We start from the raw sequence: 27522 nt of genomic DNA on the forward strand, positions 1-27522 counted from the left end.
CAGGAGACACCCTGGGTTTGGTTCTCCCTGAGGCCTTTCCATTGTGAGGAAATCATTCCACCCATCAGTCTGGTTGGGAAGCACCCAAACAGATTCTCTTCAAAAAGTCATTTTTGAAGTTATAGTCCAATTTTGACTGGTTAGAGACAGGTCAGACCTACTTACTTTGCTGGCTAAGCTTTTTTTTTTTCTTTGCCCCTCACCACAAGCCTGGACGGGAGACGTACTGCTTGGTATCTGGTGCTTGAGAGGTCCCAGGAGATAAGGGAGCATTTCTGTGAAAGGTTTTGCCAGAGCCTGTCAGGAACTTAATCTTGACTGCAATGAATGACTTAACATTATAAGTGATCTTTGGGTTTAGGTGCCCAAATACCAGTCCCTCCTTAGTAAGCAGCCTTTTAGACCTAACCTTTTCTACCTAAGGTTTTGTTCAGTCTTTTTGAAAAGCAGGAAGGCCAGGTCCTTGTGAGGCTTTTCTCATTACAAGCTCTTGGCAGGTTCTTCCCTCCAAGTGGAGAACCCTTACCTTCCCCATTCTTTCTACCTTCCCCTCTGATGATCCAGAGGGCTGCAAGGGACCTAGAGCTGTTCATTGGAGCCCTAGTCAGCTCTAGCGGCCAGATCTATGGTTAGGTAATCCTCCAATAGTGAGACTAATTCTCAGTGTTAGAATTAGGGGTCTGCCTGTTCTCACCAGCAGACCCACTGGCATCAACTCTCCTTTGTTGACATATAGTTAAGCACCGCTTCTTACAGATCCTCATACTCAGAGCCAACCTTGTCTTGTCTCATAACTCTTGCTACTGGCAGAAGGTGATAAAATTGTGGCCTAGAGGCCAAATGTTTTTTGTTTGGCTTACAGAATTAGATTACTTCTCAACACATTTATTACTTTACAACATTAGATTACTTCTTAACACACTTATGCCTGTAGTTACACATAAAAATCTGGATGCTTGACTTTTTGAAAGATGTGAACAGTTTAGCAATACTGTACTGTCTATCTTCATGCCATCAATTTGTTGGATCTGAGTAGATGCTGCCTACCCCCTCATCCTTGAGTGGGTGGGGGTGGGGGAGGTGGGACCTCATTGTTCAGGAATCCTACCACACTTGGTTGCCTGTACCAGGACTCCGAAGGTTCTTTCCTCTTTGAGACCTTTTTCTGAATGAACTTATGGTCCACTTTTAAAATCCTAAATTTTATAAAGCCTTAACCAGTCCAACCTAGTCCGTTTATTGCATTAGATCAGAGGTTGTCAAATGGGGCAGTTTTTTCCTCCCTCTACCTCAGGGCATTGGGCATGCCTGGAGTCTTTTGGGTTGTCATATGGGGAAGGGGTATGCTATTGGCATCTAGCAGTAGAGGCCAGGACTGGTGCCGAGCATCCTGCAGTGCACAGGATAGTCCCCATAACAAAGGATGATCTGGTCCAAATGTCAGTGGTGCTGAGATCGAAAAACCCTGATCAAGAAGCTTAATGTGAGTTATTGTGTCATTGTGTGTGTGGATTAATGATGGACTTTACCCTCACTAAGAATTATAGGATTCATTAAAATTTTACACTATTCTGACTTATTTTCATGTCATAAATATCAAGCAGTTTACCTTTGCTTTCTTAGGGCTTTGAGTTAGAGACAATTGGATGGAAGAACTTTACATTATAAACTTTCAATGAAGCATAAAATAGCTTCCTCACATTAAGCTTTCAAATACGTATTTGAGGTAACTGTCAAATTTGGTAAATGTCTGGGTTAAATTATAATAATTTTTTTAGTAAATATTCTTATGTAATAATAGTACTATTGTCAGTTGACTGTCTTGTATACTGATATAGCTTTTGCTATATTAGTGATAGGTGAAAATCAGTTTTCTTTCAACAAGAAGGTAATTTAGTGTTTTAATTTGACTTAAATGACTAGCAATTTGAAATATATGTATTTCTTGGAACACTAGGTGGCCTTACAATCACAATTATTTTTACAAGGAACTACATATTAAGTTTTTAAAAATTTTTTGAAGGTTTTTTTTTTTTTTTTTTTGAGATGGAGTTTCACTCTTGTTGCCTAGGCTGGAGTGCAATGGCGCGATCTCGGCTCACCGCAACCTCTGCCTCCCGGGTTCAAGCGATTCCCGTGCCTCAGCCTCCCGAGTAGCTGGGATTACAGGCATGCGCCACCGCTCCCAGTTAATTTTTTTTTTTTTTTTTTGTATTTTTAGTAGAGACGGGGTTTCACCGCTCAGGCTGTGTCAAACCCCCCAGCTCAGGTGATCCACCCACCTCAGCCTCCCAAAGTGCTGGGATTATAGGCGTGAGCCACCGTGCCCAGCCGAAGTATTTTTTAGTAGTATAAAAATTGTTAATGAACAAATGAAATAAATCAACAAATGAACAAAATGGGAATAAAACATATTAAATAAAACATTTGTGTTCTGCATTTTAAAAATCTTATAATAGCTGGGCGCCGTGGCTCACTCCTGTAATCCCAGCACTTTGGGAGGCCGAGGAGGGCAGATCACGAGGTCAGGAGATCGAGACCATCTTGGCTAACACGGTGAAACCCCGTCTCTACTAAAAAATACAAAAAATTAGCTGGGCGTGGTGGCGGGCGCCTGTAGTCCCAGCTACTTGGGAGGCTGAGGCAGGAGAATGGCTTGAACCCGGGAGGCGGAGCTTGCAGTGAGCCGAGATCGCGCCACTGCACTCCAGCCTGGGAGACGGAGGGAGACTGCGTCTCAAAAAAAAAAAAAAAAAAAAAAAAAAAAAAAAAAATATATATATATATATATATATATATATATATATATATATATATATATATATAAAAAACAGTAATCTATTGGGGCAGGGGATAAATTGTGTCCTTGTTTAGAAGAAGACTTTTTTTTTTTTAGAAGAAGCCCTGTTGTTTTTGTTGTTGTTATTTGTTTGTTTGTTTGTTTTGAGACGGAGTCTCAGTGGGTCGCCCAGGCTGGAGTGCAGTGGCGCGATCTCTGCTCACTGCAACCTCTGCCTCCCGGGTTCAAGCGATTCTCCTGCCTCAGCCTCCTGAGTAGCTGAGACTACAGGCGCGTGCCACCACGCCTGGCTGATTTTTCGTATTTTTTAGTGGAGACGGGGTTTCACCATATTGGCCAGGCTGGTCTCGAACTCCTGACCTCGTGATCTGCCTGCCTTGGCCTCCCAAAGTGCTGGGATTGCAGGCGTGAGCCATCATGCCCGGCCCGAAGCCCTGTATTTTGAAGGTGAATGTTTTTGCTTCTTCTCTGATCAGTTACTAAAAGTGTTTTCCCTGTGCCATTTGAGAATTATTTGAGAACTACTCTAAGCTTATGGCACATTTCAGCATTTTTGTTGTCTAAAGGCAGCTGTATTTTAATCATGTAAATTTCATGCTGCCTCCTTTGCCTACCATATAGCTTCTGTTGAAATGTCCATGTTATATTTTATTTTATTTACTCATTTTTCTATATCCATAATAAGAGTTAAAGGTTATATTTTAGCAATGTGTTTTTTTCTCTGTCATAACATGTTAAATATTTTAAATTCAGCCATGATGTTAAACAGAGTGAATTGGAATTTCTAACGGATTTCGGCAGGAATGATTATATAAGACTTAGGGCCAAAGAGAGCCTGGGTGACTGTGTAGGGGTATTAGGCTATGCCCAGCACCACATCTGGTTGTCATTCAGGGGAGCAGCTAGGGCTGGAACTGCTGGGGAGTGCAAACTGCAGTATTCCCTGTTCCCTTGTCTCAGAGCAGAATTGTGGCCTCTATCCAGGTCCAATCCCAGTTAAAAAAAAAAATTCCAATGGTCTATTCTTCTTTTGAGCTATATTATTGTAGAGAATACTGACTTGAAAAAACAAAGTCACTAACTAGAAATAAAATTTGAACTGGGTGCAGTGGCTTATAACTGTAATCCCAGCACTTTTGGGAGGCCAAGGTGGGAGGATCACTTGAGCTCAGGAGTTCAAGATCAGCCTGGGCAACATGGCAAAATCCCATCTCTACAAAAAATACAAAAATTAGCTGAAGTGTGGTGGTGTGCACCTGTAGTTCCAGCTACTTGGGAGGCTGAAGTGGGAGGATGGCTTGAGCCCAGGAGGTGGAGGTTGCAGTGAGCTGTGATTGCATCACTGCACTCCAGCCTGGGTGATAGAGCCAGACCCTGTCTCAAAAAATAAAATAAATAAATAAAAATCAAAATAAATAAAATTTGAAAATCTTGGGTATGACTTCTTTCTTGTACCATTCAACATTCTTGATGTTTACTAGGCCAGTCCAAATAATCTATTTCTTGTGTGCCTGTTTATGTCAGTTTTTTGTGACGTGTGGAGAAGTGGAACTGGGAGTAACCAAATCAGAATGAAGGAAGAGCTGTTTGTGAATGTCCATATGACAAATGACAAAACTGGTTTTCCAAGAGGGACAGAGCATGTTCAAGTTGAACATTGTATCATATATCATAACTGGGCAAGGTTGAGCTATTCAGATATGTATTTATGGATGTAATTTCATTTACTTGACATCCTAGTGTATTGTTGAGAAGTTGTATGTTGGTAAATTGATCATCTTAGTTTTGCAAGAGGTTATACTTTCTTTCACTCTAATAAGGAGACTGCAGGAGGTTATACTTTTAGCCTTGTGTTAAATTCTTTGTAAAGAAAATTCTTTTGTGAATTAGAATATAATTTGTAAGTTTATACTGAATTTGGAGTGGGATTCATTGATTTATCATTCAACCTTATGTGGATACGCTGTGGTCATCTTACTAGTGCAGGTTGAGCAAAAGGTGTGTGCTTGAGTTTGTTCCTGTAAAATTTTTCATGACAGCACCTGGAGAGTGGAAATGTGAAAAAAGATGAGCATCAGCACTTTCTAGAAGTGTTGGTCTAAGTTTTCATTTATTTACTATATGATTTTGAATGCCATCAACTAATACATTTTCAATTATCCCTGAACCCTGTGGCTCAGTTAGTGTCAGTGGGAGTAAGAAAAGATCCACGTGTCCGGGAACAGTGGCTCACGCCTGTAATCCCAGCACTTTGGGAGGTTGAGATGGGTGGATCACGAAGTCAGGAGTTCGAGACCAGCCTGACCAACATGGTGAAACCCCATCTCTACTAAAAATACAAAAATTAGCCGGGCGTGGTGGCACGTGCCTGTAATCTCAGCTACTCAGGAGACTGAGGCAGCAGAATCGCTTGAACCCAGGAGGTGGAGGTTGCAGTGAGCAGATATCGCACCATTGCACTCCAGCCTGGGCAAAAGCGAGTCCCCATCTCAAAAAAAAAAAAAAAAAAAAGAAAAAAGAAAAAGATTCACATCTACTTGAGGCCTGGAAAATTGTTGGGAAGTTCCTGTACATATTAAACCAGATAATGTCCATTCAGTGGTGTTTTTATTTTATTTTATTTTATTTTGGAGACAGTCTTGCTCTATCGTCCAGGCTGGAGTGCAATGGCACCATCATAGCTCACTGCAGCCTCAACCTCCTGGGCTCCAGCCATCCTCCTGCCGCAGCCTCCTGAGTAGCTGGGACTACAGGGGCCTGCCACCACTCCCAACTAATTTTTTATTCTTTGTAGAGATGGGGTCTCACTATGTTGCCCAGGATAGTCTTAAACTCCTGTTCTAAAGCAATCCTCTTGCCTTAGGTTCCCAAAGTACTGAGATTACAGGCATGAACCATTGCCTGCTCCTGGCCAGTGTTTTTGATTTAAAAGAGAAATACAGGCCGGGTGCAGTGGCTCACGCCTGTAATCCCAGCACTTTGGGAAGCTGAGGTGGGGGGATCACCTGAGGTCGGGAGTTCGAGACCAGCCTGACCAACATAGAGAATCTCCACGTTTACTAGAAATACAAAATTAGCCAGGCTTGGTGGCGCATGCCTGTAATCCTAGCTACTCGGGAGGCTGAGGCAGGAGAATCGATTGAACCTGGGAGGTGGAGGTTGTGGTAAGCTGAGATCGCACCATTGCACTCCAGCCTGGGCAATGAGAGCAAAACTTGGTCTCAAAAAAAAAGAGAAATACAGGCCGGGTGCAGTGGCTCACGCCTGTAATCCCAGCACTTTGGGAGGCCGAGGTCCTAGATCGCTTGAGCCCAGGAATTCAAGACCAGCTTGGGCAATGGTGAAACCCATCTCTACCAAAAGTACAAAAATTAGCCAGGTGTGGTGGCACAGACCTGTAAAGTCCCAGCTACTCAGGAGGCTGGGGCGAAAGGATCGCTTGAGCCCAGGAGGTCGAGGCTGCAGTGAGCTTTGATTGTGCCACTGTACTCCCAGCCTGGGTGACAGAGCGAGACCCTGTGTTAATAAACAAACAAACAAATAAAAGAGAAATACATCTAATAATCTGCATCACTTATTTGTGCTTGAAACATTCAGTGTTAACCCCACCCTTTCCTTTTTCTCTAGGCAAATAAGGGCGAGACTGAAAAATCAAGTCACTCAGTTGAAGGAGCAAGTACCTGGTTTCACACCACGCCTGGCAATATTACAGGTATTATGATAGTGTATTTTCATTAATGTTGTCTTTGCTTGATTTCTCAGTATCATTTCAGACCTCTCCCTCTACTTTCCTCCTTTTTTTTTGGCTGTTGTGTAATCTCATGCCTTTTCAGTCTCTCTTGGCAGGCTCCCCCCTTTGGCTCAGCTTCTAAATGTTGGCATATCCTGGCCCTCTGCTCTTCTCTGTGGATACCCTTTCTCTAGGCCAGTGTCTCTTAACCTTTGGTCTTAGTAGGGCCCCTTTACAATCTTTTTTTTCTTTAATTTAATGTATTTATTTATTTATTTACTTTTGAGAGACAAGGTCTTACTCTGTTGCCAGGCTGGAATGTAGTAGTGCAATCATAGCTCACTGTAGCGTTGAACTCCTGGCTTCAAGCAGTCCTCCTGCCTCTGCCTGCCAAAGCATGGGTATTACAGGCGTGAGCCACTGTACCTGGCCCCGTTTACACTCTTAAAGATGTAAGACCTCAAGAAGCTATTGTTTATACAGATTTATCCATTAATGTTTACTATATTAGAAATTAGGAAGTTTTGGCCGGACACGGTGGCTCCTGCCTGTAATCCAGCACTTTGGGAGGCCGAGGTGGGCAGATCACCTGAGGTCAGGAGTTTGAGACCAGCCTGGCCAACATGGTGAAACCCCATCTTTATTAAAAACACAAAAATTAGCTGGGCGTGGTGGTGGGCGCCTGTAATCCCAGCTACTCTGGAGGCTGAGGCAGGAGAATCACTTGAACCCGGGAGGTGGAGGTTGCAGTGAGCCAAGATTGTGCCACTGCACTCCAGCCTGGGCGACAGAGAGATTCCGTCTCAAAAAAAAAAAAAAGAGAAATTAGGAAGTTTTAAAAATGTTTATTCATTTAAAAATGCCAATAGTGAGCTCATTTATTATATGTTAACATAAATAACATTTTATGGAACAAAAACTTTTTTAAAAAGAAAATTTAGTGAAAAGAGGGGCATTATTTTATATTTGTGCACACCTCTTTCCTGTATGGCTTAGTAGAAGAGAGCTGGAGTCCTATCTGCCTCTGCATTCAGTCTTTTGCTGTGTGCTGGTTTGATTGAAATATATGGAGAAAATTTGGCTTCATACAGATGTGTAGCTATAAAAGGGAAGAATTTTTTTAACAGTCCTTCCAGGTAATTGTGGGTATTTTTCTTTGATGTTGTACCAGGACTCAGTAAGTAAATTTTAAAAGATTAGTTGCAATGTAGAATCTGAAACTCTATCAGTGAACTTTGATACTTTGTTACATCTTCTCAGACTTGCACACTTTGTTACATCAAAATGTTACATTTGGAATGAATATTTACCCCATGCATGGTTTTGTAACATCCTTTGTTCCTCATTTGGAAAATAATAGTTCCCGGAATTATGCAGATCTTCCAAATGTTAACATTTCATTATGCAATATGAAAGAATTGGAATCATTAACATCACCAACAAGCTCATCAGAGAAGTTTTCAAGTATTGAGAAGCTGTCAAGCTCACAGGGGTGGATAAAAAATTTTAATTTTCACCCAAAAACTCACATTTTATCATTGGCAACAAATACAATTAATTGTTTCCCTTGAAATACCAGTTTCACTTTATTCATTTTTGAGAAAATATTTGTCAAATACTCAAGCCTGAATAATCATTGCTTGTCAGTTGTTATTTCAAGTAGGTGTTTCATATAAAAATGCATCTGTTTCAGCTAACAAGGCAAAAAAGCACAAGTGCAGCCTGGACAACAAAGTGAGATCCCATCTCCACAAAAAAATTAAAAAATGAGCCAGGAGTGGTCGTATAGAGGTGTGGTCCCAACTACATGAGAGGGAGACAGGAGATCACTTGAGCCCAGGAAGTCGAGGCTGCAGGGAGTTGTGTTCATGCCACTGTACTCCAGCTTAGGTGACAGTGAGATCCTGTCTCAAAAAAAAATAAAAATAAAAATAAAAAAGCACTAATGCTTTAGTAACAACCACAACCACTGTACTTCTGTATATAGCAGAAGTGCATTATGAGTGCTTCCCAATTCCTTACATAGACTATTAAAAACACATGCACTCAAGAGTTGAGGTTTATTTATATATATATATTTTTTACTTTTTTGGGACAGAGTTTTACTGTTACTCAGTGCAGTGGCACAATCTTGGTTCACTGCAACCTTCATCTCCCAGGCTCAAGTGATCCTCCCACTCAGCCTCCAGAGTAGCTGGGATTACAGGCATGCGCCACCATGCCTAATTTTTTTTTTTGAGACGGAGTCTTGCTCTGTCGCCCAGGCTGGAGTGCAGTGGTGCAATCTTGGCTTACTGCAGCCTCCGCTCCCAGATTCATGCAATTCTCCTGCCTTGGCCTCCTGAGTAGCTGGGATTACAGGCACCTGCCATTGCACCCTGCTAATTTTTTTTTTTTGAAACAGAATCTCGCTCTATCCCCCAGGCTGGAATGTAATGACATAATCTCAGCTCACTGCAACCTTTGCCTCCTGGGTTCAAGTGATTCTCATGCCTCAGCCTCTGGAGTAGCTGGGATTACAGGTGCCACGCCCAGCTAATTTTTGTAATTTTAGTAGAGATAGGGTTTCACCATTTTGGCCAGGCTGGTCTCGAACTCTTGACCTCAGGTGATCCACCTGCCTCAGCTTCCCAAAGTGCTGAGATTACAGGTGTAAGCCACTGCGCCCAGCCTTAATTTTTTGTATTTTTTTGTAGAGTTTTTTTTTGCCTTGTTGCCCTAGCTGGTCTTGAACTCTGGGACCCAAAGTGATCCTCCCATTTTAGCCTCCCAAAGTGCTGGGATTACAGGCATGAGCTACTGCGCTTGGCCTTAATTTTTTGTATTTTTTTGTAGAGACGGTTTTTTGCCTTGTTGCCCAGGCTAGTCTCCAACTCCTGGGCTCAAAGTGATCCTCCCGCCTTGGCCTCCCAAAGTCCTGAGATTACAGGCATGAGCCACTGTGCTCGGCCAAGTTGAAGTTTAAGAAAATTAATAATGTATATTTCTTCATCAAGGGTGGTCCTAGTGAAACTGGCATTTAGTTTTACTGGGAGTGTGTGGTAGTGAAGGATACCTTGACTACTAGTCCAAAGCCATTGTCTTGATTTGTGCTGGTTCACTAGTAGTCTTACACACCATTGCTTTTGCACCATCGGTACAGACGTTAACACAATGAAAAAGGCAAACAACATTGTAGTGGTATTATTATGAAGCTAGTCTGGCCCTCATAAATCTTTGAAAAGGTCTTGGGGTCCCTCAAGAGTGTGTGGGCCACATTATCAGAACCATTATTTTAGGCAGTTTCATCTATCAGGCCAGTGACTTCTAAATCTAGATTTCTTCTGAGCTCCAGGCTCTTGGTCTGGGACACCACTGGTTTCCTTCCCACCTTCAAGTCTCCTTTGCTTGTTGTTGCTCATCACCCTAATACCTAAACCATTTGAATGCCTTGGGCTCACCCTTGAGATCTCTTCCCCATCTTATTCTTTCCCTAAGTAACCTCACCCAGTCCCATAGCTTCATGAGGGAATGCTTCCAAATTTAGGTCTCTATCCAGTATTTCTTCCCTGAGCTCCAGATTCACCCAGTAGGGAGATATTCAATACATATTTTTACGGACAAATGTATGAAGGAATGTTTGCAATCTTGATTTGGATGACAGGAAACTCACGGCTTTCATTTGAAACTCCCATCAGAGTTTCACCCAAGTTGGACATAGTCTCCTTCTCAATCTCTTTATTTGTATGTCTCCAATAGATCATTTAATCCCTTGCTAAATTTCTATCCCTTGTTCATCAAGAATGTCAAGGTGGGCATGGTGCGGTGGCTCATGCCTATAATCCCAGCACTTTGGGAGGCTAAGGCGGGTAGATCACTTAAGGTCAGGAGTTTGAGACTAGCCTGGCCAACATGGTGAGAACTCATCTCTACTCAAAATACAAAAATTAGCCAGGTGTGGTGGTGCACACCTGTGATCACAGCTACTCAGGAGGCTGAGGCAGGAGAATCGCTTGAACCTGGGGGACAGAGGTTGCAGTGAGCTGAGATTGTGCCACTGCACTCCAGCCTAAGACTCCGTCTCAATTTAAAAAAAAAAAAGTCAAAGTGAATAGTACTTAAATATTCCCCTCTCCTCCTCTGCTGTTTGTCTAAGAGGGCTTAGCTGAGAAGAAAAGCACAGAAGGCCTGTCACTCTCTGCCTGGCATGTTCTCTGCTGTGGTGGATTTTCCCTTTTTTGCAAATTACTAAGAATCAAAAGTATATATTGTGGGTGTATACTGGTACATTTGGTGGCTGGTTATTTCTTGGCTTATTTTTGCAAATTGTTTGTTGTAGAAAGAGTAAATGTCATAGGCAAGAAGTATACCCTTTTTAAAGCAACATTGGGGGTGTTTTTTTTCCTCCATTTTAAAAACTGACTTCCAACCTTGTTTTTTAAATTTATTGATTACAAATGTTTTTATTACATAAACACTGTTCTACAGCTCGTCTCCTACGTCCTTGCTGATAAAACAGTGGTAGAATCTTTTAATTTTGTACTTTAGCACCAGAGTCAACAGCTTTCTGTGATACAAGGTTTATATAATATGTTGTAATCACATCTCCCTGCCTCAGACCTCTAGTCTTTTTCGCTGTGGTGCTGGCACCACCATCTTCCCACATTCCCTGAGCTAGAAGCCTGAGGCCGTCTCCTTAGGAGCTCTCTTCCTCACTCCCTGCATCCAGTTAGGGGCTATTGTCCTATTGATTGTGCCTCTCATCAACTCTTGGAATCTGTTGCCTCCCCTTGATTCCTATTTCTCCCAACCCTGGGGCCACTATAGTTACCTGCTTAATGATTTGGGGTTCTATCTATATACCTCCTGTCTGTCCTCCTGACTGCAATTGCAATCCTTGTTAAAATGCAAGTCTGATCACAATCTATCCAGCCACACTCACTCTCCATCCTTTACCAGAATGATAGTACAAGTTGAGTATCCCTTATCCGAAATGCTTGGGACAAGAGTGTTTTAGATGTTGGAATCTGTATATACATAGGGATGAGATCCAATTCTAAAGCAAAATTTATTTGTGTTTCATTATATACCTTATACTTGTAGACTGAAGGTAATTTTATATATATGTGTGTGTGTGTATATATATATATAATAATAATTATTATTATTATTATTTTTTTTGAGACTGAGTTTTGCTCTTGTCACCCAGGCTGGAGTGCAATGGCACGATCTCGGCGCACTGCAACCTCCACCTCCTGGGTTCAAGTGATTCTCCTGCCTCAGCCTCCTGAGTAGCTGGGATTACAGGTGTGTTCCACCACGCCTGGCTAATTTTTGTATTTTTAGTTGAGATGAGATTTCACCATGTTGGTCAGGCTGGTCTTGAACTCCTGACCTCAGGTGATCCGCCTGCCTCGGCCTCTCAAAGTGCTAGGATTACGGACATGAGCCACTGCTCCCGGCCAATTTTATATATTTTTAATAATATTTTGCATGAAATGCACTTTTAACTGTGTTTTGACTGTAAGCCATCACATGAGGCCAGGTGTGGAATTTTCTACTTTTGGCGTTGTCAGTGCTCAAAGTTTCTGATTTTGGAGCATTTTTTATTTGTGGTTTTTTTTTTTTTTTTTTTTGAGACAGGGTCTCACTCTGTTGTCCAGGCTGGAGTGCAGGGGTGTGATCACAGTTCATTGCAGCCTGGATCTCCCAGGCTCAAGCTATCCTCCCATCTCAGCCTCCTGAGTAGCTGGGACTACAGGCATCCAGCTAATTTTAGTATTTGAGACAGAATTTCTCCATATTGCCCAGGCTAGTCTCAGACTGAGCTCAAGTGATCCACCTGCCTTGGCCTCCCAAAGTGCCGAGTCACCGCACCTGACTGATTTTGGATTTTTGAGTTAGGGATCTTCAACCTGTACTACTTATATAGAGTGTCTACAATAATTCAAATTGTTTGTTTATATTTCTAATCGTTCTATGTTTTATACTACCCTACGATGTAGGAGATGTCCCCTTATAGCCATAGTAACTCATGCTCAAAGATCTTGGGTAGCTTGCCCAAAGCCAGTCAGGAAGGGACTGAGTCTGGGAAATGAACCCAGATCTGTCTCTAAAACCCATTTGTTCTTCCCCTTTGTTTTCCTAATTCCTTAGCAATGCATTCAAGAACATTCATGATCTGGCCCAAGTATATATTTAAAAGTTGAGTTTTCATTTTTTTTTAATAAAGTGGATGAGTAACTTCCCAAATAACTGAATATTTATAGGAAATTAAGACTTGACTTTTCATTATAAGAGATACTAATGGGCTAGGCATGGTGGCTCACGCCTGTAATCCCACCACTTTAGGAGGCCAAGGCGAGTGGATTGCTTGAGCCCAGGAGTTCAAGACCAGCCTGGGAAATATAGAGAGACTTTGTCTCCAAAAAAATACAAAAATTAGCTGGTTGTGGTGGTGCTTGCCTGTAGTCCCCACTACTGAGGAGGCTGAGCTGGGAGGATTGCTCACGCCTGGGAGGTTGAGGCTGCAGTGAGCTGTAATCGTGTCATTGCACTCCAGCCTGGGTGACAGAGCAAGACTTTGTCTCAAAAAAAAAAAAAAGTTTCTGGTAAGGTGATAGAAATACAGCCTCAGCCCCATAGCCTCATTAGTATCTCTCACTCTCTCTCTTTTTTTTTTTTTTTTGAGTCAGAATCTTGTTCTGTCATGCAGGCTGGAGTGCAGTGATGTGATCTCTGCTCACTGAAACCTCTGCCCTCCCCTGTCCCCCAGGGGATCCTCCCACCTTAGCCTCCCAAATGAGCTGGGACTACAGGCACACCACCATGCCCAGATAATTTTTGTATTTTTTGTAGAGATGGGGTTTCGATATGTTGCCCAGGCTGGTCTTTAACTCCTGGGCTCAAGCAATCCACACACCTTGACCTCCCAAAGTGCTGGGAGTATAGGCATGAGCCACTGCACCTGGCCAAAAAACTGATTTTTAACAGTATTCGGGAACTATTCAGAGTGCTTTATGTATAGTAACTCATTCAGTCCTCACAAAATACATGGACAGAATACAGTTAATAAACTCAACTAGCCTGTATCTTCATAAGGTTTTCTGAAACAGAAAGAAAAATGAACCAGTAGACCAATACCCAAGATATCTTACGGTGTAGAACACAGATTAGTAAACTGTGGCCCGTATCCAAATGCTGCCCAGTTTATAAAGAGTTAAAAAAGCAATAGCAGCAGCTGCTGTGACACGGTATGTGTCCCACAAAGCCTAAAATATACACCGTCTGCCCCTCTACAGAAAGTTTGCAGACTCCTGGTATAAAAAAAAAGTGTCCCTAACCTGTTCTGGAATAGGATCTTTTTTGGATGATGTAGTACTCAGCCACCTTCAAGGAGAAATCAGCATTCTTTTTTTTTTTTTTTTTTTTGAGATGGAGTTTCACTCTTGTCGCCCAGGCTGGAGTGCAATGGCACGATCTTGGCTCACTGCAACTTCTGCCCCCGGGGTTCAAGGGATTCTCCTGCCTCAGCTTCCCAAGTAGCTGGGATTACAGGTGCACACCATCATGACTGGCTAATATTTGTATTTTTAGTATAGATGGGGTTTCACCATCTTGGCCAGGCTAGTCTCGAACTCCTGACCTTAGGTGATCTGCCCGCCTTAGCCTCCCAAAGTGCTGGGATTACAGGCGTGAGCCACCATGCCCGGCCAGAATACACGTTCTTTAAACATTCTTTTTGCATCTAGTCTATCAATGGTTCTATAACCACTTTCCCCTATAAAATGCCTATACTGGCCAAGTGTGGTGGCTCACACCTACCTAGCACTTTGGCAGGCTGAGGCAGGAGGATTGCTTAAGCCCAGGTGTTTGAGACCAGCCTGGGCAATAGAGAAACTCCATTTCTACAAAAAATACAAAAATTGGCTGTTTGTGGCAGCGTGTACTGGTAGTCCTAGCTTCTTGGGAAGCTGAGGTGGGAGGATTGCTTGAGCCTAGGAGTTGCAGGCTGCAGTGAGCCATGATCATGCTACTGTACTCTAGGCTGGGTGGCAGAGTAAGACCCTGTCTCAAAAATAATAAATAAATAAATAAAACCTATACTAAGAGTGACTCTTTGAATTGGCTTTTAGATGTCTTTTCCAATAAAACTTTGACATACGCTCATAACTATAACTATTAAGTTTTCTTTCTGGAACTGGTTGTAGTTTTAGTGTTTTAGACAAACTCCTTCAGAAATATTCAGGCCGAAAATAGTTACATGTAAAGGAACAACAACAGCGAGAGACTTCAGACTTCTCCTGTGTGACATTAGATGCCAAAGACAACATCTCCGAAGGAAAATGCTGTCACTCCAAATCAGGCAAGGCCAGTCAAGTGCAAGGGACAGCAGAAAAATATTTTCAGTTATACAGACTTAGAAACATGTCCACCTACCTTTCCTGGAAAACTGACTTATAAGTTACATTTCACTTACTTGAAACATGAATGAAGATAAATTCTAGAACAGAGAAGTTGTGGCTTCCTTACTGGCAGCAAGTGATAAAACAATTTAATCTCAGAGTTAAGACTAAATAACTAGTGGTAGGTATAAATATGAATGAAATTGTAAAAAAATAATACTTTTGTATTTAGAACCACCTCCTTTCCTACTTTGATCTAAAAATTCCGGAATGTATCAAATCTGGTAACTGAACCAGTGAGGGTTGGGTGGTGGGGCAAAGAACATACATAGAAAGTGACCAAAGAGGAAACATGAGAGGCACGAAAAGTCTAGGGAAGCCCCTACGAGAAGCATCTAATGTACTTAGATACAAATAACCCATTAAAAAAAAAGGTAGAATTCCCCTCAAAGGACTCTTCTGGCTCTTGCAATTCAAATTAGCACCACAAAACTGAGAACTGTCTGTATAAGGGACAACTGAAGCTAAGATTCAGGCCATGTCCTGAGATCTGAGGAGAGCGTCCAGTAATAGCACCAATATGACAAGCTCAGAAAATCCTGTGTTACAAAAGCCGGCTTCTTTCTCTGCCATGGTCCTGTTAAAAGGAGCTGTGCTTCAGTTGTCTTTGATATGAAGGGACCACCACCTTTCCCTCTGTGATACCCTCTGCAATTCTGGGAGAAACACAACTTATGGTAGCATGTATCAACCTTGAGAAGGAGAAATACCAACCACTGGAGCATGAAACAATATTAGTACAATAAAATTTTACAAATAAATGGTTATAATGATAAACTATAAATATGTTCATGGTCAAAGAAACAGAGGGAACATAGTGAGACACTGCATGGTGGTTCAAAGGATTTAGCCTCTGCACTACAAGTTTCTCCCTGTCTCTCTCTTTTTTTTTTAAGAGACAAGGTCTCTCTCTGTTGCCCAGGCTGCCCAGGCATAGTACCATGACTCACTGTGCACTGGTGCAATCATGGAAAAACTCTTGACCTCAAGTAATCCTCCCACCTTGGCCTCCTGAGTGCTGGGACTACAGGCAGGCACCACTATGCCTGGCTAATTTTTTGTAAAGATGGGGGGGGGGGTCTCACTATGTTGCCCAGGCTGGTCTCGAACTCCTGGGCTCAAACGATCCTCCTCCCTTGGCCTCCCAAAGTGCAGGGATTATAGACCTGAGTTGCTGCACCCGGCCTCCTCTCTGTGTTGGGGCCAGCAGATTGCCCTTTGTCTTGCCTGGCTGTTTATTCTGTGTAAACTAGAGGGAGGTCCTTCCACCCTCCTTTCTATTGTCTGTGTGGCGGGGCCAGGGAGCTTTCCATTGCCCCTGCGGGTGGGGGAGAGGGTGTGGAATGTGCCCTCTGGGTGCTCCTGCCTCTCAGGCATTTTTCTTGCCTGATGACAGTTTCTCAGCCCTCCATACTCTGTTTTTCTGGTATGGCAGCAGAAATCCCACATGTTTCTAGTAGGCCTGCAGCATCCTTGCTTAGTTTCCAGTGCAGATGCAGATATCCTCTACTTTCTGTTTGGGGTTTGGCAGTGGGAACCAGGTGGGCCTTGTTTAGGGGAGGGGCTGTAACACCATCTGTGTTCACATAATCCCTCCTGCCCCCACAGCCTCCCTATACTCCTGTAAAAGTTCTCTGCAACAAGAGTCGCATGATTAAACATTTCTTTTATTAAAACTAAAATTGTAGAAGCTTTTCTGTGCACTTTGCCTTTCCCTAATCATCTGATTTGCATGCATTTATTATTCTAGGTTGGCAACAGAGATGATTCCAATCTTTATATAAATGTGAAGCTGAAGGCTGCTGAAGAGGTAACGCCAGAAGAGCTGTGCCATCACCCTCCCCAACCTCCACCTGGGTCCTATCGATTACCCCTTGCCCTTTTTGGTCCTCCCTGTGAAAACTTTTATCACCCACAGGAGACATTAGTTTATCTATTTTGTAAGTCAGAAATGGGTGGGTTAGATCTGTGGCCTCTGGTTTGCCCGTGAGTTTTTGTTTTCTCATTAATGATTTTCTTCCCAAAGAGCAGGATGTCAATTGAGGAAAGTGACAAGTCTCGATCATTTTAGGAGATTTATTTGCCAAAATTAAGGACACACCTGGGAGACAGGTCTATACCTTTCTCCGAAGATGATTTCGAGTTCTCCAAATTTAAAGAGGAAAGGGTGGGTTATTGAAAAGTACACGTTTTCATGTAAGAGGTGGGTAGGGAAAAATAGTCATTCATGACCTTCTCTGGCTCAGTGAATCTGCATTTTTTACATAAGATGACAGATGGCCGGACGCGGTGGCTCACGCCAGTAATCCCAGCACTTTGGGAGGCCGAGGCGGGCGGATCACCTGAGGTCGGGAGTTTTAGACCAGCCTAAGAAACATGGAGAAACCCCATCTCTACTAAAAATACAAAAAATTAGCTGGGTGTGGTGGCGCATGCCTGTAATCCCAGCTACTCGGGAGGCTGAGGCAGGAGAATCGCTTGAACCTGGGAGGCGGAGGTTGTGGTGAGCCAAGATAGTGCCATTGCACTCCAGCCTGGGCAATAAGAGTGAAGCTCCAACCAGAAAAAAAAAAGACGATATAGACAAGTGGGGCAGAGGAAAAATGCAGGCAATCTGCATTTTACATAAGATAACATAGACAGAATTGGGCAGGGGAAAAATCAGATATACATTTGTGTCTGGTGGGCTGGGGGGATTTACATTGCCATGGTGAAATTTTAACAGAAACATCATAAAGATGTTGCAGCTCACTACGAATTTCTTTGTGGGCAAAATATGGGGGAGGCATGTAGCTTTTCATCTTGTAACATCTTATTTAGGAACCAAAAAGGGGGAGGCAGATTTGCATGACCCAGTTCCCAGCTTGGCTTTTCCCTTTGACTTAATGAATTTGGGGTCCCAAGATTTAATTTCCTTTCTCAAGAAATAGCAAGCATGACATTGCTGAAGTGCAGTGGTGGCAATTAACAAGTGAATGATGAATGGGTTGAAGTGAGGGACTCATTCTTCAGAACATATAAGGGTGAAATGATGACCAACACCTCCTTGCTTGTTAGTCATGTCTGTAAAAGAAATGGTTCAATATCTCAAGTTGTCTTGCCATTTACCTGCTTTTAATGTCTGTTTTGCAGATTGGGATCAAAGCCACTCACATTAAGTTACCAAGAACAACCACAGAATCTGAGGTGAGCTTTTATGAGTTGATTGTGAAGAGGGAAGGTGAAGTGGTTTCCTCTCTGGTTTTGGTTTACGGGGGCTTTGGGGACTGACACATTTAGCCAAGACCTCCAGGTATTTTTTTTTTTTTTTTTTTTGAGACACAGTTTTGCTCATGTCACCCAGGCTGGAGAGCAATGATGCGATCTCGACTCTCTGCAACCTCCGCCTCCCAGGTTCAAGCAATTCTCCTGCCTCAGCCTCCCGAGTAGCTGGGATTACAGGCGCCCACCGCCTCACCTGGCTAATTTTTATATTTTTAATAGAGACGCGGTTTCACCACGTTGGCCAGGCTGGTCTTGAACTCCTGACCTGAGGTGATTTACCCGCCTTGGCCTCCCAAAGTGCTGGGATTACAGGCGTGAGCCACCACGCCTGGCACCTCCAGGTATTCTTTCTTCACAGACTCCCACAGAGGAGATGGTGCAGGGATGAACATTTGGTACTCAAAGTGTGACTGCAGTACTGTTTGCTTCCAAATCATCTGTTGTGTTTGTTAAAACTGATCCTTGGAGCCAGGCACGGTGGCTCATGCCTGTAATCCCAGCATTTTGGGAGGCCGAGGTGGGCAGATCACCTGAGGTCGGGAGTTCGAGACCAGCCTGGCCAACATGGAGAAACCCTGTCTCTACTAAAAAATACAAAATTTGCCAGGCGTGGTGGCGCATGCCTGTAATCCCAGCTACTTGGAAGGTTGAGGCAGGAGAATCACTTGAACCCGGGAGGCGGAGGTTGCAGTGAGCCAAGATCGTACCATTGCACTCCAACCTGGGAAAAAAGAGCAAAACTCCGTCTCAAAAAAATAGGTAAAACCGATCCTTGGCCTGTAATTATCTGCATTCTAAAAACCAAATATGTATTCCTTTTATATGAGGTTCAGGACTAGGCAGAACAAATCAGCGGTGATTAAAGTCAGAACTGTGGTTGCCTGTAGGTGGGAGATTAATGCTAAACTGTAGGAGGATAAAGCAACTTTCTTGAGGTTATGGCAATGTTCCATATATGCGCTGTCCAGTATGGGAGCCACTAGCCCCATGAGGCTATTTGAATTTAGTTAAAATGAAATAAAATTAAAAATTCACTTCCTTGGTTGTACTAGCCACTTTGCAAGGATTAAGTAGCTGCTATTGTATTGTAAGGTGCAAATTATAGAAAATTTCTGCCATCGCAGAAAAGATGATTGGACATTGCTGCTCTACATCTTGATTTGGATGATTGTAACATGGGTATTATTGCTGTAATAAGTTATTAGAGTTCTTAGCTCTTTTTATTTTATTGTATTGTATTTTTAGAGACAGGGTCTCACTCTTTTGCCTCAGCTGCAGCACAGTGGTGTGATCATAGCTCATTGTAGCCTCAACCTCCTAAGCTCAAGTGATCCTCCCACCTTAGCCTCTTGAGCAGCTGGGACTATAGGCATGAGCCACCATGCCCAGCTAATTTTATTTTATTTTTGAGGCAGAGTTTTACTCTTGTCGCCCAGGCTAGAGTGCAGTGGTGCAATATTGGCTCACTGCAACCTCCACCTCCCAGGTTCAAGCGATTCTCATGCCTCAGCCTCCTGAGTAGCTGTGACTACAGGCATGCGCCACCACGCCCAGCTAATTTTTGTATTTTTAATTGCCCATATTGCCCAGGCTGGTCTCAAACTACTGACCTCAAGTGATCTGCCCACTCAAGCCTCCCAAAGTGCTGGGATTACAGGCGTGAGCCACCGCACCTGTCCCCGCTTTTTTTTTTTTTTTTTTTTTTTTGAGACAGAGTCTTGCTCTGTTGCCCAGGCTGGATGCAGTGGCATGATCTCAGCTCACTGCAGCCTCCGCTTCCTGGGTTCAAGCGATTCTCATGCCTCAGCCTCCTGAGAGGCTGAGATTACAGGCATGCGCCACTATGCCCGGCTTATTTTTTATATTTTTGTAGAGACAGGGTTTCACCATGTTGGCCAGGCTGGTTTCAAACTCCTGGCTTCAAGTGATCCAGTAGCTGCTATTGTATTGTAAGGTGCAAATTATAGAAAATAATTTTCTATATTTTGGGAGGCCTGCCTTGGCTTCCCAAAGTGCTGGGATGACAGGTGTGAGCCACCACACCCAGCCCTAATTTTTTTTTTTTTTTTTTGAGGTGGAGTTTCACTATTGTTGCCCAGGCTGGAGTGCAATGGCACAATCTCAACTCACTGCTGGAGTGCAGTGGCACTATCTCAGCGGACTGCAACCTCCACCTCCCAGGTTCAAGCAATTCTCCTGCCTCAGCCTCCCGAGTAGCTAGGATTACAGGCATGTGCCACCACACCTGGCTAATTTTGTATTTTTAGTAGAGACAGGGTTTCACTATGTTGGCCCAGCTGGTCTCAAACTCCCAACCTCAGGTGATCCACCCACCTCAGCCTCCCAAAGTGCTGGAATTACAGTCGTGAACCACCGCACCCAGCCCCTGGCCCTAATTTTTAAAAAGTTTTTGTAGATATCACATTTCACTGTGTTGTCCAGGCTGGTCTTGAACTCCTGGGTTCAAGTAATCCTCCTGACTTGGCCTCCCAAAGTGCTGGGATTACAGGCATGAGACACCTCGCCCAGCCTCTTAGCTCTTTTATTTGATGGACTTCTTACCAGACACCTAGGGGATGCATTCTATGTTAAAGTACAGGTGCTCTCAGGATTCAAGGGGAAGGTACATTCTGAAAGGACTATAATTAAAGTGTTGGGGGGAAATAGGGCAACCTAATTTTTGCCTTAGAAAGTGTTTCTTCCTACCTTTTGATTTCTGTGTGATATACAAATTATATATGGTATTACTTTTAGGTGATGAAGTACATTACATCTTTGAATGAAGACTCTACTGTACATGGGTTCTTAGTGCAGCTACCTTTAGATTCAGAGAATTCCATTAACACTGAAGAAGTGATCAATGCTATTGCACCCGAGAAGGATGTGGATGGGTAAGTGTGGCTTGGCTTCCTATGTCTCATTGCATGCTTTCATTTATAATATGTTTCTATTTGGGGAATACAGCATAAATGTTTCTAAAGAGTAAAGACATCTAATTGCCTTTATTTCCTTCTTATTTCCATCACTTTTTTAAGATTGACTAGCATCAATGCTGGGAAACTTGCTAGAGGTGACCTCAATGACTGTTTCATTCCTTGTACGCCTAAGGGATGCTTGGAACTCATCAAAGAGACAGGTAAAAACAACAAACCAAACAACAAGAAAGCACCATTTCCTGAATCCTGGTCTTGACATGTGGTGGCATAGAGGAGGTACATTGTGGGCCATAAATAAATGGACTTGATTGGCAGAAGGGCCTGTCTACTAAGGATGTTACCTAAATTTTCTCTCAATTTTCTCAGCAACTCTGTGAAGTAGGTACTGTTATTGTTCAACTGCTAAGAAAATAGGCTCAGGCCAGGCACAGCGGCTCATGCCTGTTATCCCAGCACTTTGGGAGGCTGAAGCGGGCTGAGATCACCTGAGGTCAGGAATTCGAGACCAGCCTGGTCAACATGGTGAAACCCTGTCTCTACTAAAAATACAAAAAAATTATCCAGGCAGGGTGGCATGCACCTGTATTCCCAGCTATTCGGGAGGCAGAGGTGGGAGGATTGATTGAACCTGGGAGGCGGAGGTTGCAGTGAGCCGAGATCACCTGACTGCACTCCAGCCTGGGCAACAGAGCGAGACTCTGTCTCTAAAATAAACAAACAAACAAACAAACAAACAAAACCAGCTCAGAGAGAGCAAGTAACTTGTCTGGGAGACAACGGAACCAAGATTTGAATTCAGAGTTATCTGAGTTCAAAGCAATTTATTTTAACCTATACAGTAATAAAAATTTGGATAGTTTAAAAGGATATGAAGTGAAAAGCCCCACCTCCCCCCACCCCCAAAATGGGCACTGAATCTCCACAGTAGTTCCAGGACTCGACAGATGGCTGGAAATGGGTCTCCTGCACAGTTGGCCATATTGTCCCGTTACTAGTTAGCACCTTGCTATTTTAATTTCATTATGAATACTTTTAGCAGAGGTTATTTTTTACAAGGAAATGGGTCCTGGTAAAAAGAAGTAGGTCAGAAGTTTCAAGTGGAAAGTTTTGGCCAGCATAAATGAAAATTTTCTGTGGTTGGCAAGAAAAGGTCAAAGGTCAAGCTTTGACAGTTCATTTCTACAGTTAAATGTATATTCTTCAGCATATTTAGCAAACATTGTAGTGCCTTGCTTAAAAGAAAAAAATCCCACGAGGACAGCACCTGAAGGCCTCCCACTGCCTCTTATTGAGTGATGCTACCATTTGCCCTGATGCAGCTTTAACTCTTCTGCTGAATCCTAAAAAGTATAGAAAGTTACCTTTTAAAACTTTGAGGTCTTTACTTCTAGATGTTCATGATGTTCACATTATTATAAGAGTTTATCTTTTTCTGAAAAAAAATGATTTTATGCGAGAAGCACAATTTAAACCCTTGCTGCTTTGAGCAAGGGTCCACTGCCCTCAGCCTTGACTGCCCTGAGGACTCTGATGAAGTCGTCAACTTCTCTCTGCTTTCTTCTTTGTGGACAGCTCATTTTCGGGCTCCACTTTGTGGCCACAAACACCTACAGCCTGGTTCCATCCTCATGCCTAACAGTCATGGGATTGGATCTTATCAGCTGAGGGAAGAAATATGGTCCCCTGTCCACTACTGGGTACTCACTCAGGCTGTCTTTAGTAGAGTATGAGTCAGCCCTGAAAAGGACATTGGTATATTGCCAGAAAAATGGATGCTGTGATAGCAAAAAGAAAGCTTTGCTGCCACAGTTCAATTTCCCCTTTATCACTTCCCTGCAAGTAACCCTATGGCTCAGGCCCTAAGCCAAAAGAGAAATTTGGGTGAGGAACTGTATAAACAAACTTACCAAAGTTAGAAGGAATTACCGATACTAATCTAATTTCTTACACATCTCTCCAGCCTGTTACATACACCCTATTTGTTTTAACTTTTTTTCCCCATGTAATTTAATCTGATGTCTTCTTCCGTATGGCTGATTAGCTGTATGTCAGGGTTTCTTTTTTCTTTGAGTGTAGGTTTTCTTCCCACTCCCCTATGACTCAATGAATGATCTTGGCTTAAGCTGCTCCCAAAAACCCACGGCCAGAAGGACACAAGTACAAGTCCCAATTTATAGCTGAAACCCTAGAGTTGAGAATATTATTGCCAAAGAAGGAATGCTTTTAGGAAGGTTTCTGTTTGATGTTAAGAACCTGTTTTTGTGCACTTATTCTAATTTCTCCACGTGGCATGCGAAGGAGGGCAGCTTCTATCCTCCAACTCTGATGCAGGCTGGCTTTTCTTTCAGGGGTGCCGATTGCCGGAAGGCATGCTGTGGTGGTTGGGCGCAGTAAAATAGTTGGGGCCCCGATGCATGACTTGCTTCTGTGGAACAATGCCACAGTGACCACCTGCCACTCCAAGACTGCCCATCTGGATGAGGAGGTAGGGTGTCCAGAGGAGAGGTAAAGGTGTTACGGTGGGGAGGGTGGGTGTGCCAGAGGCTGCCATGTCCTTTACACTCATGACCTCATTTAACCCCATCATCTCATTTTTACAAGATGAAAAAACAAATTCAAATTAAAGGCTGAGTGGGGTGGCTGACACCTGTAGTCCCAACACTTTGGGAGTCTGAGGCAGGAGGATTGTTTGAGCCCAAGAGTTTTTGAGACCAGCCTGGGCAACATAGTGAGACGCTTTCTCTGCAAAAAAAATTAAAAATTAGCCAGATGGGGTGGGCACATGCCTGTAGTCCCAGCTACTCGGGAGGTTGAGGCAAGAGGATTGCTTGAGCCCAGGAGGTCGAGGCTGCAGTAAGCTACGATCACACCACTGCACTCCAGCCTGGGCTACAGAGCAAGACCCTGTCTCAAAAAAAAAAAAAAATTAATTAATTAAAAAAAACATAAAATTAAAAGCATGCTGAAGTTTATACAGAGTTTGTTCTGTGTACTTTCTCTCTTCCTTTTTCTTTTTTCTTTATTTATTTTTTTTGAGATGGAGTTTCACTCTTGTTGCCCAGGCTGGAGTGCAATGGCGCAATCTCAGCTCACCACAACCTCTGCCTCCTGGGTTCAAGTGATTCTCCTGCCTCAGCCTCCTGAGTAGCTGGGATTACAGGCATGTGCCACCACGCCTGGCTAATTTTGTATTTTTAGTAGAGACAAGGTTTCTCCATGTTGGTCAGGCCGGTCTTGAACTCCTGACCTCAGGTGATCCACCTGCCTTGGCCTCCCAAAGTACTGGGATTACAGGCATGAGCCACCATGCCCGACCTTTGTCTTTTTTCTTTTGAGACAGGGTCTTGCTCTGTTATTTAGGCTAGAGTGCAGTGGCAGTCCATGAGAGCCCACTGCAGCTTTGAACTCCTGGGCTCGAGTGATCCTCCTGCATCAACCTTCTGAGTAGCTGGGACTACAGGCATGTGCCACCATGCCTGGCTAATTTTTAAGCTTTTTGTAGCGACAGGGGTCTCACTGTGTTGCCCAGGCTGGACTCAAACTCCTGGACTCAAGCGATCCTCCTGGTTCACCTTCCTAAAGTGCTGAGATTACAGGCGTGACCCAACATGCCTGGCCTCTCACCAAGTACTTTCTACCCTAATCTGCCTCGTGGTGGACAGGGATTAGCAGTACAGGCACTCAGATTGACCTCTGGCAGCCAGATCCCATGTGTGTAAAAGTGGTGGCCTCAGAGTGAAGGTGCTCCAGAGGCAGTCGTGGGCAGTAGTCTGCTAATAGCTATGGCAGCTTGTTCTAGATCCCTGCATCAGATTCCTGAGCCCAAGAATGCGCACACACACACACGTGCCTGTTGACAGTGCAGTCTCTTAAATGTGGGGAGAGAGCAGGAGAGAGGCCTAGTACTTTCTCTTTTAATCCTCCCAAAGTAGTGCTCTACATTCTGTAGGAGAAGGAGCAGTGTCTGGACATAACACGCAGGGCCCCAAGCCTGTTTGCCCCTCTGCCTTGCAGGTTGACACTGATTTCCCTATTGGGTAAAATGGCTGGTGAAAGGGAGCTCTTTGGCATGTGTAGAAATGAGCACGGCATGTGAAGGGCTGTCAGAAACAGTGTGTGGCTTACATTTGAGGCCTTAACCCAATATCTTATGAAATAGCTTATGACACTTAAGAATTTAATACAAAGCTCAGGGATATCCTTTTCATTTCTGGGTTTTTTTTTGGTGTGTATTTCATTATTTCATTTCTGATGTCCAAATCCCCTACCCCTAGGTAAATAAAGGTGACATCCTGGTGGTTGCAACTGGTCAGCCTGAAATGGTTAAAGGGGAGTGGATCAAACCTGGGGCAATAGTCATCGACTGTGGAATCAATTATGTCCCAGGTGAGTGTTGTTGGAGGAGTAAGGTGGCTGCTGGTATTGAGGATGGTATCTAGGTCATCAAAAGAAGCCTGAGAGAGAAGCTTGTCTCATTTTATGCTTGTAGTACTAAGGTTTAGGAGACTGACTAGCCCAAGGGTGCACAGAGTTAGTAGATAGAAGAGTTGCCACTTGCAGGCAGGTCTGCCTGGTGCCAGAGCCTTTGATTTTCATCATGTGCTGTACAGCTTCCAAGATGACTTTGTCCAGGGAGAAAGTGAGAGGGAGGGCAGGAGGGATATATCACTTTATCTTCATGTAGAGATCACCCTTTATTTTAGCAAAGTTGATGGATGGATTTAAAATACAGTATAATTATTGCAAAGTGCTATGAGAGTCCAGAAGAGGGACTCATTCTGCCAAGAGGAGGGCTTTACAAAGAAGATATTTGACCTGGGTTTTTTTCTAGGCTGAGAGGATAAATCTAGCCTTTTAATCATGTCCAAAACTGTACTCGGCATCCTCATCCCCAAGTTACCCCTTACTCCCGTCTTTTGGTTAGTATCACCATTCTTCCTTCCCGCAAGTCTGAAGCCTTTTAGTTTCCCTCCCAAGCATTCCCTATATTGGACCAGTCTCTAAATATTAGGAATTGTTTTCTCTCTCCTCTGTTCTGAGTGTCACCACTGAGTGTTACCTTCTCAGCTGATGGGCTGTGATAACTTCCTTGCAGGTGTCCCTCCCTCCAGCTGCTTCCCACTCAGATCTATCCCCGTGCTCTCGCCTTGCCACGTTCACCTTCTGGCATGGAACTCTGAGCCTCTTCCTTCTTACTTGCCAGACTCCTTAGCCTCACACTAATTTCAGTGACCTCTGCAGCCTGTGATCTCACTTGCGCATGGTGAATACCTGTCTTCAACTTGTAAAGTGGACCACTTTCCCTTCCCTGCGCATGCCTCGTTTGCCCTTTGTAGTTCCCTCACCTGCATTCTTAGTGGAGTGGGCTACTCTTTCAAACAGAAAACTTCACAGAACAATAGGGCAAAACTTGCGTACGTCCTCATAGATCCAAGAAAGGAACAATCTTTAACGGAGCAACTACTGTGTATCCAGCACAATGCCAGGCCTTGGGCTACACAACTGAATAAGGTTCAACTTCACCTTCACCTTCAGCTGCTTCCTCCCCATCTCCTCTCTGTCATGTCTGTTATTCCTTCCAAACCTTGTTTGATTTCCCCTTATCAAGGGATGATCTTTCCTTCTCTCCCTCCCTCCTCTCCCATAGAACATGTGTATTGTATCTTTTGTTGCATGTGTCTCATGTACGGCGTCCTGTGCTCTCCTGCCTAGATAGCTCCTCAAGGGCAGTGGTCACTGTGGCGCCACATCCAGCTTCCTGCCATCTGACCACTGGCACTCATATCTATTGAATTGTCGAAGGGAGTTATAGCTGGAAGTCTTTTTTCTCCCTTCCCATCTCAAGTTTCAGATGTAGACGCTGAGCTGCCAGGAACATTAGTCACTGTCAAGCCTTCACCGTTTTTAACCTCCCTCCCACTCTCCCTACCGTGCTTTTAAGACAGTAGCTCATAATTGATCACTCATTTTCTTGTAGTGTAATTATCTAACAGGCGATAAAGAAATTGCTCTCCTACAACTCCTCACTTTGAATACTTGCGATATGACATTCAAGCTCAGTCTTTTTATTTATTTATTTTTTTAATTTTTTTTTTTTTTCTTGAGACGGAGTCTCGCTCTGTTGCCCAGGCTGGAGTGCTGTGGCGCGATCTCGGCTCACTGCAAGCTCCGCCTTGCGGGTTCATGCCATTCTCCCGCCTCCGCCTCCCGAGTAGCTGGGACTACAGGCGCCCGCCACCACGCCCGGCTAATTTTTTTTGTATTTTTAGTAGAGACGGGGTTTCACCATGTTAGCCAGGATGGTCTCGATCTCCTGACCTCGTGATCCGCCCACCTTTGCCTCCCAAA

The 27522-nt window shown here is 43.6% G+C and overlaps 1 protein-coding gene across 2 annotated transcripts in view; it reads left to right on the forward strand.

The window, feature by feature from the left end:
• The window catches only part of MTHFD1 (methylenetetrahydrofolate dehydrogenase, cyclohydrolase and formyltetrahydrofolate synthetase 1), a 71673-nt gene that overhangs the window by 6013 nt on the left and 38138 nt on the right, over positions 1–27522 (forward strand). For both annotated transcript variants that reach the window (NM_005956.4, NM_001364837.1), the window contains exons 2-8: positions 6428–6512; positions 16725–16784; positions 18107–18160; positions 20993–21129; positions 21274–21374; positions 23523–23659; positions 25449–25560. In NM_005956.4, coding sequence (NP_005947.3) covers positions 6428–6512; positions 16725–16784; positions 18107–18160; positions 20993–21129; positions 21274–21374; positions 23523–23659; positions 25449–25560 — 686 coding nt within the window. The remainder of the gene's footprint in view (positions 1–6427; positions 6513–16724; positions 16785–18106; positions 18161–20992; positions 21130–21273; positions 21375–23522; positions 23660–25448; positions 25561–27522) is intronic.

This window comes from Homo sapiens, chromosome 14 (assembly GCF_000001405.40).
Source record: "Homo sapiens chromosome 14, GRCh38.p14 Primary Assembly".
NCBI lineage: Eukaryota > Metazoa > Chordata > Mammalia > Primates > Hominidae > Homo > Homo sapiens.